A 21,360-nucleotide genomic window follows, 5' to 3' on the forward strand; every position below is an offset into this window, starting at 1 on the left:
TTTTATTTATGACCAGCCACCTTTTCCAGGTTACTTAGAGAACCATTATATTATTACTGAAATAAACTATTACAACTGAAAGGGTCCTGGACAGTCACTCAGCCTAGTTCTTTTGTGTGATAAATAGGGACCAAAGTGTTAAAGTGACATGCCTGAGTTCAGATTTCTTAGTGCCATCGGTGGAAACAGAACCCATGTCTCCTAACATTAACTTTCTTTTACCTCTGCTTTTCCTATTTGTTGTTCTTTGGATAGGCTATAAAAATTTCTGATAGATTTTGTCTGATAAAACCCTTGATAGATCTAATTGGTGATTACAAAGCACTAAGCCTTTATATCCTCAAATAACTCCCTAAGTACCCAGAGTCGGCAAACTTTAAACCCTGTTTTGAATTTGTATTGCATCTTTTTGTCTTAATAGATTTGGTGGCCCACACAATACCTCAGTCATGTTTCACTGAGGCCCCAGCTTGAATCTGACCTGCATACGTTACTGGGGGTACCTGGAGGTCTGGTGAAGGAAACTGCCAGGAGAACATTTAAGCAAAAGCATCTGGAACATTTTGGAAATGAAAAGAGTCTCTGTTAGTGAACAAAGAGGGAGTAAAACACAGAAGCTGGCCCAATAAGAATATCTCAATAGGGAAGGACTAGAAAGTGATGAGAATAGCCTGGGTGCTTTCACTGATACTTATTCTCTAGCCATGCCACAGGAGCCAGTGACAAAATACAAGGGAGACAGGGGTTAAATAAAAGTTAAACAAAAGCAATCAAGTCAGAAAAAGCTATTTTAAGTAAAATCTCTCTAAGACATTTGGTGAGCAAAACAGCATGTTTTTGGTACTTAAGACTGGAACACAAAAGCACAGGAGTGTCAGTCTTTCAGTTTCAACATGAAATTCAGCATTGCTGAAATCTATGGTGACCTTCAGATAACTCAGTGCTCTGATATCAGTGTGACTTATTACTTGGCATTCTTCCTGGATCAGCCCCCAAACTCTTAACCAAGTTTTTACTTGAGCAAGATTACAGACAGCTTGGAGACTACAGGGTCTGTTTGAATAAGAGACTGAAGAACTTTTGGGGACAGGACTTTTCCATAAGGTCAGTGAAGAAATAGTTCTACTTTGACATCTGTCTCAGTGACTATACCACAAAACAAGGTTGAAGATCTTCTTCACCACTGACCGCCACTTAAGTTTTGTCTTTGGGAAGCTTATGCTCTAGGTGGTGGTGATGCCCAGCATGACCTACTGAGAAATGGCAGCTATGCCTGGCAGACAGATCAGAAATTGCAGGGCAGACTAGCAAGGAAAGAGGTGTCATTTAAAAACTATTCACAGTGGTAGCAGCATCAAGCCCAGTGGGAGTGGGGCGTCAAGCAGATGTAGCATTGTTACGCAGGAGCGCTCATCAGATTCTCTGCAAACACTCCTGAAACCCTCTTGGGGCCTGGCAAGGATACTTGGGGAAAGAACTCAGAGATTGTTGATGTTCTATGTGAGCAGGTGGTGGAAGGCCTGGGGAAATGAGTTATATTTGCTCTCTATTTCTCAAGTCTTTTAAAAACGTTTTGAATTCAGGGAGTTCATGTGCAAGTTTGTAACATGGGTTTATTGCATAATGCTTTAATTCTCAGGTCTTTTAATCCTACTTGAATCACCGTATTGCTGATTGGAAGCAAATCAGTTTACTTGAATATAAAATTTATAAATGAAAGAACACTTGTAGGAATACCAGCATTCTTACAAATGATTTTAGTATATTATGATTATTTTCTTAATTCTCCTAAGATAATAACATCCTCTGAATGCACAAACTTCAGCTAACTGCTCCATATTTTGTGTTAGAATATTATAGACTTTCTTTATTTTGACTCTTGAAACTTTGCAGAGCTAGAATTTTTTTAAAATCAGTTTTCAAGTGTTTTGTTGTCTCTTTGCTCTAGTGATAAACAGCATAAGAGTAATGAGAGAAGTAGGACTTCATCAGCAACCTTTTCAGTGTCGGTATCTAAGTTTCCTTAAGATCTCGTGTCCTTGGTCAAACCAAGTCTCCAGATGGCAGTGTTGTCAGAAAGATCTAGGAAAATAGATGACCCAAATATATTTTTATATCTGTGTTTCAGTTTGTAAATCACTAGTCTTGTTTCTGAAATGGTTTTCAGGTCAAAGCAGTTTTAAGATCCCTCTTCAGCAGTTACTTGTCATTCTCATCCCATTCTTTCCATTTTCTGTGTATTATATACTTTTCCAGCCTGGAATTTATAGTTCCCAGTGCAATACCAAGCACAGAGTTTGTTGAGAATCCACTTTTATTCCCTGGTAAAGTTGCTTTTAGCAGTAACAATAGTACTTACTATTTTGTTTTTATAGAATTTCTAATCAACATAAATCACCATTACATCAACACAACAACATACATTGTGGACCCACAATACCGTGTCCTTTTAGAAAATATTGTGTCAGAACACTTAACATGAGATTTACCCTTTTAACAAAATTTTAAGTGTACAATACAGTATTATTCACTATAGAAACAATCTTTCACAGTGGATCTCTAGGATTTAATATAGTGGATACTTTTGCATTTAAAGATGGTTCTGAACTCTTCTCCAGGATCCTCCTTATTATGACATATTTATTTTTGTAACAACTTCTGCATACATCAAATATAAAGCTTGTAAGCAGAAGTGTGCACTTCTCTAAAAGTTAACCAAACATGGTGTGCTTTCTTTCCATGCAAATGTTTGCATACCTCTGTCCTTGGAATTACTTCTCTGGGTCAGAGTGAGCTTTTGTGCACTTAAGGACAAGAGGGCAAATGTTTTCAGCTTTACATTATTTTGCAGAATTTATTCATTACTGTTTCTTACAAATAGGATCTCCTTTAGCATGATAAATGAAAAGCCAAATAGCGTATTATTTGTTAAATAAGTGATTCAGACAGTTGTATTCATAAATTTCCTTAGGGAGACTACAAGGTCCTCCTTCCGAACTACCTGCCCTGGGTCTAAACTCATCCTGCTTTATCTTGGCATCCTCTTTTTTAACAATAACTTTTGTGTTAAAGCATTGGTGCAAGGTCTCCTGGAGGCTCTTGTTGAAGTGTGCATGCTGCCTTGGAGGGACAGGAGGGCCGTTTCATTATCACAGGCTGGCAAACTGCCACCTTCAGTCATTTAACATCTAGTAACTGATCTCCTTTTATGTGCAAGGCAGTGTAGTCAGATGAGGAGAAAGGTGGTTCCCAGAGGACTTGAAGGATTGTTAATATTTGATGGCTATGAAGGCAGAAAAAATGTTGAAGCATGAGGAAAATGGAAGATTTGAGGATGAAGGGACATCTAGGATGAGTTGCTGCCACTGGGATCACTTATAAAGCAGTGGGAATAATTTGGAAGTGGAGGATATGTTTCAATAATGTTGAAATGAAAGCCAATGGTATTTTTCTAGAGATTTTAAAAATTCATCCAACAAATAATTATTGAATGACTACAATGTATCTGGCATCAAGGACTTAGAGATACAGAAGTAAACAAAACGTATCAAGTCTCTGCCCTAAAGGAACTTACAGGGTAGTGGGACAAATGGTAAACGAATAAAGTAAATATCTAATGGCAGATAGTGATAAAGGTTATAGAGAAAAAGAAAGGTGAGGGAAATAGGGAGGGCTGGGTGAAAAACTCGGGGGTACTGACTAGGAGGGTGTTGCTATTTTGTCTAGGGAGGGCAGGAAAGACATGAGGAAGTCAGAAATTGAATTGAGCCCTACAGCTACGGGAGGGAGTGGGTAGAGCATGCCTGGAGAGGAACAGCAAGGTCAGTGGCTCAGAGGCAGGTAGAGCTTGGTGTATTTAAGGAACAGTAAGGAGGGCAATGTGGCTTAGGGAAGGTGAGAGAAGAGGAGAGTATGGGAGAGAAAGATACATTGAGGACTGAGAGAAAGGGGATGGGAAGCAGGTGGTGTAGAGCTTTGAAACCATTGTTTGTACTTTGGATTTTACTCTAAAGGAGCTGATAATCAATTGGGTGATTTTCAGCTGAGGAAATGACATCATCAGACATATTTTACAAGGACACACTGGTGCTGTGTTGAGATTAGACTATATGTGTCAAGGGCAGAAACATGGAGATAGAACATATTACCAAAATCCAGGAGAGAAATGATGGTAACTTTTATCCGAATTGTGTTGGTGAAGGAAGCAATTAGAGGTCAAATTCTGGATTTCTATTTGAAGGTAGAACTGACAAGATTTGCTGTTCTTTAACTTGGACAATATACGTTAGTGCTCTTTTTTCCTTGAGGATGAGCTGTTTGTGAAGCAGGATATCTCCCTGACCCCTTCACGGGTGGGAACTGGAGTGCCAAGGTGCTAGAACTAGCCGACTGCTTTGGCACTGGCAGGGGGTGAATTCCACTCGCTCGGACCTGCAGCACTTCATCCCTCATGGGATGGGGAGCATGTAGGTGAGGGGGTGCAGGAGCTGGGGCTAGTGCTTTTGGCCGCTGGCAGGAGCAAAACTGCATGCGGACCCCATGACAGCATCTGGGGGGACGCCCGTGACCCCTGAAGCCTCAGGAGTGTTACAGTGCTCTTTTAGCTTTGCTGCCACAGATGGCTTAAGTGTTAACAGCTCAGTGGAGGGTCAGTGTGACAGCCTTTTGTATCCGCACTCATGGCACCTGAGTTCTTGTCCAGCAGCCAGGAGGAATGAGGCCATATGAACAAATTGAAGGTGGTAAATGTGGGGGATTTTATTGCTGATAAAAGCGGCTCTCAGCAGGAGGGGGAGCCGAAAAGGGGACAGAACAGGAAGGTAATTTTCTCCTGAAGTCTGGCTATCCCTGGCTGTATTCCTCTTTGAAGCTACATTGTCAAGCCATCCCTCTGAAGTCAAGCCACCTCTCTCTACCACATCCAGCTGCTTCTCTTCTCTCTGCCAGCTGAGCCTGGGGTTTTTCTGGGTGCAGTATGGGGGCTTGGGAGGGCCATGGGTGGTTTTGGAAAAGGCAACATTTGAGTGGGAAAACAGGAATGAAAGTTTTCATTTTGGGCTGTGGTTCCAGGTTTGAGGGTGGGTTCCTTGCTGGGGACCCACCCTCTTCTGCCCAGAATTTCCCTGCATCCTGTCTCCTGTCATTTACACAGAGAGCAGTCTTGAGCTTCTCTAGCCAATACTTGGGAATCTAAAGCAGCAAAACTTACAGTTATGTGACCCTAGGACCAAGTGTGAAACAGTAACTGAAATTACCTTTTATGATTACAGCCTATCCTGTGGAGTTCAGGATACCAGGATATGTTGAGAAGACATGAATAGTTCTAAAGAGCCACCTGTTAACAATTGCAAGAGCCAGGCTTGTTTCAAGAGTCAATGTTCGGGATAGTACAAGCTAACATTTTCTAGTTCCGGTGTGGTTTAGAAGTTCAGATTCCTCTTGTAAGTCTTATGGAGGATCCTTTAAGCTACAAGAGGTTTCTAGTTGAAGGTATAATCATTTGCAAATAAAGTTGGATTCTGAGATAAATTTTAAAGAAAGTGAGAAGTGCCTTTGATCTACTTTCACATTCAGGGAATTCTTGTCTCTCTGGATGCTTTTTTTCAAGCATATGCTCTATCATATGCACATTAATCTTGGCCCTACCTAGCTGCAGTTCCCAGCTCAACTACTTCCTCATAATTTACTGTATTTAATAGAGTACCGCAATGACTGAAATCGTATTTGACCTGCAAAAAAGCTACCAGAAGTAAATGTTTGTGTTGATGGTGACATAGTAGTTTATTATTTTTTGGCGGATAACCCTAGTGCCCAGAAATCACACCTTTTGTGAAACCATTCATTGCAAGTGGATGCATGGTTCTGTTGAGCACAGTTGCTACATCTAAATGACCATGTATTTATCAACAAATGTTTACTGAGTGTTCATCATGTTCCAGGCCTGTGCTGGAATGGGGCCACAGCTATAACGAGGCAGTAAAAAAAAAGATTAATATGAAGTGATTAATTAGGGAGTATTCCTGGGAATACTCATAAGGGACAGGGAATGTTGGATGAGGAGGAGAAGGACCAGCAAGTAGATAGCATCAATCAAAGTCTCACAGAGGATAACTTTGGATCAATTCCCTAGGGGAGCTCTGGGAACTCCAGAGAGCTTCCCAATAGGGGTCACACCTGGAAATTGTCTTGACGTTGGAGCAACAGACCTGTTCCTGGAAGAATGTGAATTCCATGGCACTTCCAGCTCTCTCATTCAGGCAGGCAGAGTGGGTTCCAGAAGCCTAAAAAGGCCGAGGTGCTTGATGTTGGGAATAAAAGCACACCTGGAAGCCTGTGAGCATGAACATGGTAAAGTGATGAAAAACAGATATGAGTAGAGTACTGACAGTGTCCTCTTCAGACTACTCAATATACCACTCAGAGCCATTCATACCACACATCAGATTGACTCCTCATGGGCTGGGCAGGCAAATTCACACATAGAATGTGTTCCTTTCAGAATGAATTGCTGCCTTTCTCAGTGTGGAAGGAGTCTGATGTAAAAAACCTGACACCAAGTGGCTGATTGGTCTCTGTGAGAGATGATACCATAGTGAAAGCTCAGCTTCTGTCTCTGCTGCCAACTGGTTGGATGTTCAACAGTATCGGTAGTTATATCAGCCTTGTTGAGAGAGAGCTCATGCTGTTGGGCCCATGAATAGCCTCCATCTCTGCTGCAATGGCACGTGGATCTACTGTGCTAGTACTGGGGTGGTCAAGGACAGAGTCTGCCTGACATCTACAGGATAAGACATCCTGTCCACAGGCTGTCCATCACATGTCTGCACGGATGCTGTCTAGCAGACATTAACCTGCAGTGCCAATGTTCACAGACTGTGTGTCCATGCTCACACATCTATCTACATGCTTCTTCCCTAACTTCCTTAATCGTATGCACATTCACCTTGGCCCTACCTAGCTGCAGTTCCTAGCTCAACTACTTCCTCATAATTTACTGTATTTAATAGAGATAGAGTATCACAAAGACCAAAATCGTATTTTGTGTCACTTGTGTCTTTTGTAGTGTCTTTTGTGTCACTACAAAGAAATATCTGAGGTTGGGTAGTGTATAAATAGATTTATTTGGCTCGTGGTTCTGGAGGCTGTACAAGAAACATGGCACGGGCATCTGCATCTGGCAAGGACCTCAGGCTTCTTCCACTTCTAATGCAAGGCAATTGGGAATTGATGCCATTGTGTCACATGGCAAGAAAGGGAGCAAGATAGTGAAGAGGGAGGTTTCCAGATTTTTTTAAACAATCAGTTCGAGAACTCACTCATTACTGTGAGGACAACACCAAACCATTCATGACAGCAGCCCCCATGATCTAAACATCTCGCACTAGGGATCAAATTTAATTTTGTTTGGTGGGTCCAAACAAACCCTATCCAAACCATAGCACTCCCTAATATTTTTCACTAGTTTTCCAGTCTTGCTGCTTCCAAGTCTCTGACCAATTAGCCAAGCTTTTGACACTACACAGGCATTCATACAGATCCTTACTAGTCTGGTCCCTGAGTAATACAATTAGTTATGGCAGATGACTACAACTAAGTTGTAGTTCTAATTGCATTAGCTATACCAGTAATGGTGTTTTCTCCAAGACAAATGAATTTTTTCAGCAATCATCAATAAGAAGGATCAGAAGGTTTCATTCAATTGGATGGATAGAAGTACACACAGAAGTCTGCTGTCTAGCAATATAATCCAGAGGGTATAATGATTACTGCCTCTGCATACTCTAAGTCTTTGAGTGAATTGCTTATTTCTACCATTCCAACGGGACTGTGGTGGCATTTCTGATTTATTGTTGTTGGACACAGTTACAAGGTCTTGCACTTGATTTTTTCTACTATGAATGTCATTACCATAGGTCAAAGAATCAGTTAAGGGTTCTGTCAGCTGCTTTATATACTTATCCTGTGTATGTATACAAGGAACATGGAAATGTGATTGGCTGGATCTGGAGGGCTATGGACACACTGTGAGATAGACTCGAGTCAGGACTCCATTTATTATCTGGTCTCCTTAGGCCTCCACCGTTTTAAGGGTAAGATGGTGATACTTTGTAAACTCCTGGTATCAGTGTTAGCTTGAACTTCTACACTAAAAGTATAGGAAAAATGTGGGTTTCCCCTGTTTCTCAGTGTAAAGTTACTTGGGTAAATGTCCATAGATTTATTTGAGGAAGACCAGGAGAGTTAATATTGTATATCCTTTCTGTGACACTATAGGATCCTTTCCCAGGTAGATTTGGCTTTTCTTTAAACAATGGTCACTATACCTGAGAAATGGCTCAAGCTTGGAAATTAGGGAATGGAAAGTGATTTATCCATTAGTACAGCTGACATCAGTCTTCTGTGCATCTGCTTTTCATTTAAAAAAATGCAATTATCTATATCAGGCAATGCCCTTGTTGTCTGCCTATGTGCCTTGTTTTAGAAACACCATGGTTTATTAGATATCACCATAGATAACTGCAACTTTGATGCCTGCAAGTAACTCTGTCTACCTTCTCCCTGTGATTAAATGCTGCCATCTGGCCTCTGCTATTTCAGATCCTTCCCCGCTGATACAAGAAAGTCAGTTCCATTACAGCATCTCCTACTATCAATCCCAGCCTACTAGAAACAGTAACAAATGAGCTTTTTGATGATGCCAGTGTCCTCCTCACTAATGCATTCCCTAACAGTTAGTGAAAGGAGTGTCTTCCAGGACTATGCAGGGAACATGGTTATTTGGTGGATTCTTAGGTCTTATGTAACTATCTTGCTCACCTCTCTGAGCCTGCTAATCTCTTTCTCAATACTCTGCCCAGGAATTTTAACCTCAATTAATATGACTCATTGTTTTTTTCCAAGTTTCTGGGGATAAACCAAGCAAAATTTATTAGGATTGACTGTGGATTTCCCTGCTAGGGTGTTGGGTTATGGGAGCATGCCCCCAGATTAAAAAATTCTCCCTTATCCAGCTTATAGTCCACCTTTGCCAGTTCAGCACCTTCAGGATCCACTTCTAGGCATGTTCTTTCAGTTCTTGCCAGCACCTATGAGACAGATCCTGGATCTCCCTCAATGAATAATTCCTTTTCTCCTTTAGCAGATGGAGTACTCTCCCAATCAGATCATGCAAGAATAATAGGAAGGGAGGTGTGGAACCATCTTAAAAGGTGAGTGTAATCTTGCAGAGCATTGATCACAGTTGAGGTTTCTGCACAGTGTTTAGGCAAGAGGAAGCTGATGTTCTGCAGGTAGAACTGGGGTACTTTTTCAGGCTCAGGAGTTTAGGGGCATTGGGAGTTTAATAATTTTGTGTGTATTCCAGGAATTTCCATTCCATCTCAGGATCCCACTCCTTCTCTATCAGGATCCTACCTTTAGCATAAGAAACTTGCCAAAATATTAATCAGCCTTCTTTGCAGGTTTGCTACTCTCACTCTTAAGTTTTGGTTCTGGTCTTCAGGACCACCTTATATGCAGCTACAGATGAAGATATTCTCTTTAAATCCTGCCATGGAGAACTTACAGCTTTCACATTATGTTCGGAATTGGTAATTTGCTGACGTAAACTTGGAATTTTATTTCTTCAGTCCATTGATGGCACTTAATAATGACCACAAATCCCACAGATCTTATAGCTACCATAATCACCATATATCTCAAATACTAGATATTAAACAATCTAGTATGTCTTTTTCCTCTTGTGTTCCATCCCAATTCACCACGCATGAAAGTTTAAGCAATGGTCCTGGGGTTTTGTCACTTTACTTACCACCAACAATGAGGTTCCTGTTGCCTTCTAGCCAGTGAGTCATCCAAACACTGAATCCTATACTGAGTATCAGCTTTCAGCATCATTTCTGCTACTAAGTTTCTTAGGTTGCGTTCTCCAGTAGCAAATTCTGAGTTAAGGGTTTGTGTAAAAGTGATTAATGGAGTATTCTCAAGAAGACCGTAAGGGAGTGGAAAAGTGAGGCAAGAAATAAAAGAAGCCAAGCAAGGGTGAGTCCTGTGATGAAGAACTTTGACTCATTCCTGCAAGGAAGATCAAGAGACAGTGTAGCCACACCTCATAGCTGTCATGATCATGGGCAGTAAGTTGGAGTGTTTATACAACTCAAATGGAGTCATTGATGACAACAGTTGTCACTGCTGGGAAATAATTTCCCAGGCCACTCCTTGTGTGCCGAGGCAAAGAGTATTGGGATCCTGAGGTTAGTCCTCTGACAAAGATATATGGTTAGTGGCTGGTGAAAGTGAAAACATGCTGGTGGACATAGCCAGTGTGAATGAAAATGTAAGGAGGTATACAGGACTGGGGAGGAGAACCAAATGTGTCTTCTAGAGAGATGATAATGGCAGACAATCAATAATTAGAGGTAATGATATTTTTTGATAATGTTGGATAACATATATAATACCATTACCCTACTGCCTCCAAGAGATTAGTCTCCAGAGAAAATTTTTAGTTGTCCTAAAATTACCAGATGATTTGTCTCACTGTTTAAGTCTCACAGCTACTATTTTTTCTTTGTGACAAGATCTCAAACATTCTCACTATTACTTAAACTCTTTTCTTCTTCTTTTTTTGTCCTCCTCCTCCTTTTTTTTTTTTTTTCTTTTTTTCTTTTGAGACAGAGTCTCGCTCTGTTGCCCAGGCTGGATAGAGTGCAGTGGCACAATCTCGGCTCACTGCAAGCTCCGCCTCCCGGGTTCACGCCATTCTCCCACCTCAGCCTCCCAAGTAGTTGGGACTACAGGTGCCTGCCACCACACCTGGCTAATTTTGTTTTTGTATTTTTAGTAGAGACGGGGTTTCACCGTGTTAGCCAGGATGGTCTCGATCTCTTGGCCTTGTGATCTGCCCTCCTTGGCCTGCCAAAGTGTTGGTATTACAGGCGTGAGCCACCGTGCCCGGCCCTCTTCCTTTGTTTTTATTTAATGTATCCATTAAAGAAATTTCGGAAATGACCAATCACTGATCATATTGTGGACATTTTGGTGTTTTTCCTCTGTCTTAGCCCATTTTGTGTTGCTATAACAGAATACCGCAGACTGGGAAGTTTATAAAGAAAAGACATTTATTTTTTACAGTTCTAGAGGCTATGAAGTCCAAGGTTGAGGGGCTCACATCTGGTGAGGGTCTCCTGCTGCTTCATCCCAAGGAAGAAAGTGAAAGGGCAAGAAAATGTGAAAGAGCAAGAGAGCAAGAGAGGGCCAAACTCACTTTTATAACAAGCCCACTCTGTGATAACTAACACACTCCTGAAATAATGATATTCATCCATTCATGAAGGCAGAGCCCTTATGACTTAACCATCTCTTAAAGGTTGGACCTCTCAACACTGTTGCATTGGGGATTAAGTTTCCAACACATGAACTTTGGGGGAAATATTAACATGATAGCAGCCTCCTAATTTTTTTTTGCAGATAAATTTTAAATAATTTTATTTTAAAAAGTATTTTCAAATGGTTATTGTTCTTCCAAAGAAACTTTACTACTATGAATCAATCATTCAACAAAAATATAGTGAGCCCTTTATATGTATTTGACAATGTCCTAGCCACTGTGAGGTTATAGTATTGAACAAGGCAAAAACACTTGACCTCTGCTTGGGGAAGAAAGATAATAAACTAATATATAATGTGTTAAATGGAGATAAATGTGTTAAGCGGAGAAAAATAGACATGCAGGGTGAGGAGAAAAGGAGTACTTTGTGCCTATGTCTCTGTGTGTGTTGTTTTCAGAGAGTGGTCTGGGAAGGCCTCATGATCAGGAGGTAGTGAGAAGAGGTCTGAGGGGAATGTACTATGTGGAGGGAATAGCAAACACTTTGAGATAGGAATATGTTTGATGGGTTCAAAGAACAGCTAGAAATTGGTGTAGGAATTGAAAGTGTTGGCTCAAATGGAGTGAGCCAGGAGGAGAGTTGAAATTACAGCAGTTGTGACCAAAGTGGAGTGTGGGTAGCTGAATAACCAGGGTCTTGGGAGCCATTTTAAAGACTTTGGTTTTTATTCTTGAGATGAAGGTCGTGGGCAAATTTGAAGAAGGGGAGAGTCATGATCTGACTCACATTTTAAAAGACTCAATCTTATTGCTTCATGAAAAAGAGACTCTAGGGAGCAGAGGCAGAAATACAAAGACTAGTCAGGAAGCTGTTGCAATAATCACAAGACCAGGATACTATCAGTGGAATAGTGAAAACAGGTCAGACTCTGGAAAGAAAATATGCACATATTTGCCAGAAATCCTAGTAGGATTTACTAATAAGTGGTATGGATTAGATATGGAGTTTATAATTTGACTGGGAGGAATATTTTATATTTTTATTCATCTCTAATTCATGTTCCCTCTGATGTATCATTTTAACTTTAGGAAAAAATTTCCTTTATAGATAATTCAATTACCGTGAGGAATGCTTAAACTACAGACATTTCCATGGGTTACTGATAGTCATAGTGACAGATTACCATGCAACATAGTTTTAGTCACAGTGAGGGCTACACAAAAAAGTAAGACTTATCCCTGGCTTTGATGAACTATTGGCCCTTTGACAATAAAAAATAGATAAGGCTAAGGTATGTGGTATATGTCATAATATATTTGAAGACATGTCCATATGTAAAACATTTATGGAAAACTCTCTCTCTCTCTGATTTCCCCAGACTCTAAGTACAATACCAATTCAGAAATAAAGAAAAAAATCAATCTGGGTTAATGCCTAGTCACTGAAAGACTTACCAAGGAAGTACTTTAGCTTACAAGGAAACGTAGCATATGAATGGGGAGAGAGATCAGCAAAAGAAGTTAGAAGTAGAAATGGGTAGAGCTTATAATGGGATAGAGATTGGCCTGATGTGAATGAATGAATGAACAATAATCGAATAAGTATGAGTGTGTTTTCTTGAGATAAACATTTGTGTAAATAACACTAGTTTTACAGATATTTCCCCCCGGACTTTCTAAATAACTCAGTGATTCCTAGTAATGTTTTGGTTTGCAGACACTTTGAAAATTTCATAAGTGGTAGAAAATGCACATTTGGGCAAAATTTTATGTATAGTTTAAGGAATTCATGAATATTCTGAAGCTGGGGGTCCATGGAACCCAGACTGTGAACTGTTGAGAGTGTTTCAAAGCACTTTGGTTTTGCCATCAAGCAACAACTATGCTTTAAGATCCCTTTTCTCCTGAAACATTTCAACCAACTTTGCCAGAAACATTACCAAAATTAGAACGTCACAGATCTAGCTGCAAGTCGGAAAATAGATCAACCCTGTGACCTGAGAATAATATCTAGATCTCTAAGTTTTTCCTTTTTTTGTGCAGTAAAGAGAGGAAAAGATGCTTTGGTATTCCTAAACACTTGACTGGATTTCCTGTATAGACTGAGTGTGAATTTAGGAGGTGTTGAGTGCATTGTTATCCATGCATAGATGCAGTTTCCCAGTGAAATATGCTTACCTTAGAGTGGAGATGAGCAAGGACATTTGAGGTAAGATGTGGAAAGAGCCATCAATTAACAGTTTTAAGGAATAAGCTTAAAAATAAAATTCAGCTTTTCTGCGCCATAGAATTCTGCAAGTAATCACCAGAGGCATGAGGGTGTGGACTGTGAGGGCAACAAGTCATGGTTGTTTTTTCTCTATTACATTACATATTACCTATGAGCTATTTGTTTATTTATTTATCTCTTCCAGGGTGATTAAAATGCACCCTTTGTAGAGCTCTCTGGGCACAGGCACAGAATAATAATGGCTTGGTAAGCTGTGTGCTCTGGAAACCCTGCAAGCAAGCAGAGTCAGGTGGAATTGACACAGCTGAACTGGTAGCTGTCACTGAAATGTGGGTTGACCTCCAAGGGTGTAAGTGTCACTGTAGCAAAGCACTTTGTGAGCAGAGTGAGATGAACAGCAATGATCTCTTTCAGAATAGCAATCTTGGGGACAGTCATTTTCTCTCTCTGATTTCTGGGTTGAAAACTGCACTGCGCACTTTAGAGAGATGCCTTGAGTTTTATGTAGTGCATTATATTTTTTCACGGCACCCTGTGTAGGTGTCCAGATGGCAACCAGGTGAAATTGGTCTGAGCCAACACAAAGCAGCAGACTGCATTGATTTGCCTAACATCTTAAAATCAGAATAAAAAGGTATTGCGGCTATGCCTACACGATTTACACTGTCACATGCATAAAATGGTTAAAAAGCTGTGGTCTTGGGAATCAGGCAGGTGTATATTCTGTTCTGGGCTTTGCCACCCACTAGTTACTTACTAGTATTGGCTTCTTGAGTATTGACTTCTTTATCTCAAAAATGGATATAAGAATATTCTATTCCTGAGGTTGTTTTGAGGATAAAACAGATAATTTCTATCTGAAGCTCTTAGCAGAATGCCTAATATGTAAGTAAACTCTCAATATGTGTGACTTTTCTTGTCAGTCTGATCTTGAACTTAACCTCACTACTCTGCTTACTGCAAATGCTCTTCCCCCAGGTTTTCTACCTTTCTAGATACCGCTAAGACTGCACAGGACTCTCTTCTCTGTTCTCTGGGCAGTTCTTGCAGCAGCAGCAATTTCATTCCTGCTGCTGTGACTTGTACACAGGTGAGACAAGAAAACCCCTTGTAACTCACTACCAGGGCTTCATGGAGGCAAGTGAATTTCTAGTCTATTCTCTCAAGCTGCAGCTTGGATCAATTTTCCCTGTGAAAATGGCACTGCTAACGTTTTGGCACAAACTTTTTCTATGTATGACTACATTTAGAAAATCACAGTCATGTTGTCTACACTGGCTAGGAACCTGCTTTTTCTAATTTAAAAATTGTGAGCATTTTCCAACGTCATGAAATATTCTTTAAATGTAATTTAAAATGAGTTGCCCTGTTACATTTTTCTAAAAGTGGAGACATCTTTATTTTAAAGTAATATGTGACAAACAGTCCCTCATTTCACTCCTCAAAAATAATTGCTGTTAGGAATTTCATTTGATATCTTTCAAGACATTTCTGCAAGTATAAACCTATAATGAATGCATTCTACATAAACGTAGCTATACCACATATTGTATTCCATAATCTGCTTTATTAACTCAACAAAATATTGTGGGTATCTTTAAAAGCTAAATAGTATTTCGTTATATGGATACATCGTTATTCACTCAATCTCTTATTAGACATTCTCATTTTCAATATTTATTATGCAACATTCGACAAATGTATTTATGTATCATATTTGTTTACTCACACTCTTATTTCTTTCTTTCCTTTTTTTTGTTTTTTTTGAGACAGAGTCTCACTCTGTCGCCCAGGCTGGAGTGCAGTGGCTTGATCTGGGCTCACTGCAAGCTCTGCCTCCTGGGTTCACGCCATTCTCCTGCCTCAGCCTTCCGAGTAGCTGGGACTACAGGCACCTGCCACCACGCCTGGCTAATTTTTTATATTTTTAGTAGAGATGGGGTTTCACCGTGTTGGCCAATATGGTCTTGATCTCCTGACCTCGTGATCCATCCGCCTTGGCTTCCCAAAGGGCTGGGATTACAGGTGTGAGCCACCGTGCCCGGCCACACTCTTATTTCTTTAAGATAAATGATGAGAAATGGAACTGTGGGATCAAATGGTATGCACATTTTAAATGTTGGTACAAATATCCCTCCAGAAATGTTGAATATTTTATATTCCCTTTTAAAATGCATGAGATGTTCCATTTCCCCATACCTTTACCAGAATGTGACTAGTGTGTTTTTTTTTTAATTTCTTGTTAAACTTAAGATATCTGTGTAAGCTGTCTTAAATCCTTATTGGAATTTAACAGTGTATATATCAGAGCCAAATATTTGACAAAATAATACAACAGGTTATGTTGATATTCTTTTAACATAATTTAAAATGAGTTGTCCTGTTATATTTTTCTAAAAGTGGAGACATCTTTATTTTAAGGTAATATTCTTTATGGTCTCCTCTTTCTACAACATCCATGGGAAAATACTTTCTAAGCTCCAGACCACTGACAAAAATATCAAAGTTGTAAACTTTGCTGAAACAATGGCTGAATTTCTCAGTAAATATTTATTCTATTCCTGTCATAGGCAAAAGTTCCATACCAGACAACTTATGAACCTAGCTTCCATGAAAGCATTGTGACTCATTTTAACATTTTGGGCTAAGTGAGAAATTATCTCCATGGGTTAACTTTCAAGGACTTTACTGAAGACACTTGGAAAATTCAAGGGCTCAGTTATTTCTTCCAGACATGCTATGTAAGATGCATTTATTTTGTCTGCTACTATACTTACCTAGAGACCTCATTATCTGGGAATATGCCATGGCTCTGTGGCTTGAAGTCCTGAGGGAAATATTTTCACCCACCATCATATCAGCCTTTCAGTTTTGAAAGCGGAATGTGAATCAGAAATTTATACTCTAGTCTTCAATTTGTAAAAAGATAGTGCATAGATAAAATGAAAAAAGTAAATGTATGAAAAAGCCCTTGCCCTTATCTCCAGCATGCTAAGTGATATGTGAGCCTTTAGCCACTGCTGTAAGGAGTTGACATGTTCAAATTACAGAGAAGTCTGCTCAGTAAAAAGACTATTTTAATAATTCTGGCCATCAGATGAGTACAGGAAGTATATGAAAATGCTCTAAAGGTGCCTGCAGAAGATGTCATTTGATGACATATAAGTGTCAGCACTCAATTAAAGGGTTACCCCAGTCATTACAGAATGTAAGCCAATTGTGACACATGACAGATCCCTGGGGACATGGTAGTTAGAAGTGTTTCCTCCCTTCCTTCCTTCCTCCCTTCTTTCCTTCCTTCTTTCCTTCCTCCATACCTCCCTTTCTTCCTTCCTTCTTTCCCTCCTTCATTCCTTCTTTCCCCCTTCCTTCCTTCCTCCCTTCCTCCTTTTGAGTAAATTCATGTTTGTCAGTTAGGGATATTAAAACATTGTTTTTATCTTTTCACATTTTAAAAGAGCTGTAAAAAGGTTTTCTTTTCAGAACTGAGATTTGCTGAGTCTTTAGTATAATAGCCAAGAAATTTAAAAAGGAGAAAAGAGCCCATTTTGACAATTGTATCAGCATGTTTATATTGTGATTCCGAAGTATAACGTTCATGGCACAGAATGGCATTTATCACATCATGCTTTCCACTGGGTTGTCTTCTTTGGGCAGGAACATTATTTCATTCCTGTGTTTATCTTTCAAGAGCACCTTGCATAGACTAAAACATCAATAAATTATTTTAAGACATATGTCTAATGGTTGAGTGATTTATGGTTTAAAAATAATGTAGCAACTAGAAGACTGTTCTTAGAGAAAGGAGAGGGAAGATGTTTAATGAGAAGAGCTCCTTTAGAGAAAAAGAATCTTGATAGGCATAAGAAGAATGAATAGGGAAATTAAGAAAATATTGAGTGGAAGAGTTAACTGAAAGAAGTTGCAGTAAAAGAGATTAAACTTGATGGTTCTTAGAAGCTTTTTAGGACTTCCAGAGTGAAATTGGAAAAAAAAAAATTTAGTGAGAGTAGAGATTAATGATGATCCTTAGAAGACTAGTGTCTTTTTTTTAATGTAATAGTAGAGATAGTTGATCTCTCACTCATTCCCTTACCTTCAGGGACATTCCAGTATCCAAAGATCTCTCTCGGTGATCTCGGTTCTCCTGAGAGACAGAACTAGGTATAGGTATGTAGATACATAAGAGGAGATTTACTAGGGTAATTAGCTCATGTGATTATGGAAGCTGAGATGTTCCATAACAGTTTGTCTATAAGCTGGAGACCCTGAGATACCAGTAGTATGTCCCAGTCCAAATCCAAAAGCCTCAGAATAAAGGAAACTGATAGTGTAATTCTCAATCCGAGGCTGAAAGCCTGAGACCCGGGGCCTCTGGTTTAAGTCCTGGAGTCCAAAGGCTGGAGTTTCTGAGTTCTAACATCTAAGATGAAGGCTTACATCTTAGATGTAAGATGAAGGAGAAGAAGGGTGTTCTATCTGCAGGAAAGAAGGAAAAGCAAATTTGCCTTTCCTCTGCCTTTGTTCTATTTGTGCCTGCAGCTGATTGGTTGGTGCCCACACATGTTGAGGGTGTTTTTTTTTTTTTTTCCTCAGTCTACCAATTCACATGCCAATCTCCTCTGGAAACACCCTCACAGACATACCCAGAAATGATGCTTTACCAGTTCTCCACATCATTCTTAATCCGGTCAAATTTACACCTAAAATTAACCATTATAATTCCACTCCTTGTCCCTGAGTCCCTGAGAACTTGTGCCTAAGGTGGTTGGGTTACAGCTTGATTTTATACATTTTAGGGAGACAGAAGTTACAGGTAAAACATAAATCAATAAATGTAAGATTTACTTTGGTGGCCTGGAAAGGTGGGACATCTTGAAAGGGGTTACAGGTGGACTCAAAGATTTCCTGATTGGCAGTTGGTTGAAAGAGTTAGATTTTGCCTAAAAACTTGAAGTCAGCAAAAAGAAATGCTTGGGGTTAAGATAAGGGGGTTTGTGAAAGCCAAGGTTCTTGTTAGGAAGATGAAGCCTCCAGGTAGCAGTCTTCAGAGAGAAAAGATGACAAATATCTCTTATAAGACCTTAAAAAGTGCCAGACTCTTAGTTAAATCTCTCCTGCATCAGGTAAATACTTGGAAAGGAGTGGGGATTCTTTACAGAATGTAGATTTTCCCCACAAGAGACAGCTTTGGAGGACCATTTCAAAATATGTCAAAGAAATATATTTTTGGGTAAAATACTTTGGTTTCTTGTAGGGCCTGCTGTTTATCATGTGATGCCATACAAGAGTCAGGTTGGAATTTGGTATCTTATTGCTCCAGATAGTCTGTTTTGTCAGTTTTAAGATCTCTGTTTTTATGTTAATGCTGGTCAATTGTACATGAATTCCAAAGGGAGGAGGGCAGAATGAGGCATGTCTGAACGCCTCTTCCCATCATGCTCTGAACTAGTTTTATCAGGTTTCTTTGAAATCCCCTTGGCTGAGAGGAGAGGTCCATCCAGTCAGTTGAGGGGCTTAGAGTTTTATTTTTGGTTTATAGTAACTACCTTCTTCTCCCCATTCTGTATTTTTTTTTTGCCTTCAGAAAGCACCTCAGCTTGTAGTGATTCTTTACCTGGTGGAGTGTCCCAAACCTTCATTCCTGAAGGGTCTGGGCAATTGGTAGTCCTGCCTGGATTAAGTTGTTGTAATTTCTCTTTGACCCTCATCACAGGGCATGATAATACTGAGAGATGTCCTAAGGGATCTCCTGCATTCCAAACCTACTATTTTTTTTACATTCATTGTGGAGTAGTAGTCCAATTTCCCCCCAGTCTCCTGGCTCAATCACCCTGACCAACAATGTAACTCTTTCTTAGCTTGTTGACTTAGGGAATGAGGATCCCAGGGTGGCTGGGTGGCAGTCTTAACTTCCTGTTCAATGGAATTATTTTTGTGTCTGTCTGGAACTAAGACCCCTAGGGAAGTAGTGCATAAAGTCATGGGAACAGGGAAGGAAACATTTTGCTACTGGGTTCCAATTGGAAATTGTGAATGATGCCACTCCCAAGTAGTGGCATCTCCCAAGTAGTGGCCACTCCCAAGTAGATGCCAATCTACTTGTTGATTCCTGGACCTGTGAATCCTGGGTATAGGAAAAACAGCACCATATTTTGTATGCTAATTCATAGCATATACAGCTTACTGGAGAACTTTGCTCCAGTCCTGCAAAGTATTGTCACCTAGCTAGCATTGTAACTGTGTCTTTAAAAGGACATTTCACCATTATGTCAAGCCAACTGCTTCCAGATAATGGAAAAGATGAAAAGATTAGTGAATTCCATGAGTATGAGCCCATTGTTAAACTTTTTTGGCTGTGAAGTGAGTTCTTGGTCAGAAGCAATGCTGTGTGGAGTACCATGATGGCAGTTAAGGAATTCTGTCAGTCTATAGATGGTAGTTTTGGCAGAAGCATTTCCTGCAGGGAGACAAATTCATACCTGGAGTAAATATTGATCCTGATGGGGACAAAATCCTGCCCATTCTATGATGGGTGGGGAAAATGTAATTAACCGGTGGCCAGGTAGCTGGCTGATTACCTTGTGGAACGGTACCATGTAGGGGGCTTAGAGTTAGTCTCTGCTGCTGGCAGACTGGGGACTCAGCTGTGGTTGTAACCAAGTCAGCCTTGGTAAGTGGAAGTCCATGTTTCTGAGCCAATGTCTGACCTCCATCCCTGCTACCATGGCCCCTTTTTTCATGAGCTCATTGGATGATGGCAAGGGTGGCTGGGGAAAAAGACTGACTGATATCCACAGAAGGGGGTCATCCTATTCACTTGAGTATTAAAGTATTCCTTTTATGAAGTTACCCTTTGGGGAGCATTCACATGGAACATAAATATCTTCATAGCATTTGCACTTCAGAGGGGTCTATCCACATACCTTTTACCCAAATTTCTTTGCTTCCAATTTTCCAATCATGTTTTTTTAAAGATTGTAACTGCCCAATAAGTTCACCTTGCCAGATGCCTAGACAGAGCCGATTTACCAAGACAGGGGAATTGCAATAGGGAAAGAGTAATTCATGCTGAGCTGGCTGTGTGGGAGACCAGAGTTTATAATTATTCAAATCAATCTCCCTGAGCATCGAGGATCAGAGTTTTTAAGAATAATTTGGTTGATGGGGGTGCCAGTGAGTCAGGAGTGCTGATTGGTTGGGCCAGAGATGAAATCATGGGGAGTCAAAGATGTCCTTTTGTGCTGAGTCAGTTGCTGGGTGGGGGCTACAAGATCAGATGAGCCAGTTTATTGATCTGGGTGGTGCCAGCTGATCCATCAAGTGCAGAGTCTGCAAAATATCTCAAGCACTGATCTTAGCTTTTACAATGGTAATGTTATCCCCAAGAGCAATGTGGGGAGGTTTAGAATCCTGCAGTCCCCAGCTACATGACTCGTAAGCCATAATTTCTAATCCTTGGCTAATTTGTTAGTCCTGCAAAAGCAGTCTAGTCCCCAGGTAGGAAGGGGTTTGTTTTGGGAAAGGGCTGTTAATTGTCTTTGTTTCAAAGCTAACTTATAAACTAAGTTTCTCCCAAAGTTAGTTCAGCCTACCCACAGGAATGAACAAAGATAGCTTAGAGGTTAGAAGCAATAAGGAGTTGGTTTGGTCTCCAAATTGATCTCTTTCACCATCTCAGTTATAATTTTGTAATGGCAGTTTCATGATCCTGACCATCCGACCAAACCTTTGGTTACAATCCATGAAAGAGTATGGAATCTCATGTCTGGCCACTTTTTCTTCCAAAAAAAGTGCACAA

General features: G+C 40.1%; 1 long non-coding RNA gene across 2 annotated transcripts in view, besides 1 other annotated feature; it reads left to right on the forward strand.

Moving 5' to 3' along the window:
• The window catches only part of LOC107986324 (uncharacterized), a 487,144-nt gene continuing 466,812 nt past the window's right edge, over nucleotides 1,029–21,360 (forward strand). Inside the window, exons 1-2 of one of the 2 annotated variants that reach the window (XR_001741912.2) lie at nucleotides 1,029–1,104; nucleotides 9,140–9,209. This is a non-coding gene — a long non-coding RNA (uncharacterized LOC107986324). The remainder of the gene's footprint in view (nucleotides 1,105–9,139; nucleotides 9,210–21,360) is intronic. The other variant, XR_001741911.2, reaches the window with a different exon arrangement.
• Nucleotides 1,125–1,650: an enhancer, noted in NCBI's record as "OCT4-NANOG hESC enhancer chr4:160461571-160462096 (GRCh37/hg19 assembly coordinates)". NCBI's record gives its function as "activates a minimal SCP1, AML or CMV promoter by ChIP-STARR-seq in naive H9 embryonic stem cells {active_cell/tissue: H9 hESC(naive)}" and the evidence as "EXISTENCE:reporter gene assay evidence [ECO:0000049][PMID:30033119]".

Source organism: Homo sapiens, chromosome 4 (genome assembly GCF_000001405.40).
Source record: "Homo sapiens chromosome 4, GRCh38.p14 Primary Assembly".
Classification (NCBI taxonomy): Eukaryota; Metazoa; Chordata; class Mammalia; order Primates; family Hominidae; genus Homo; species Homo sapiens.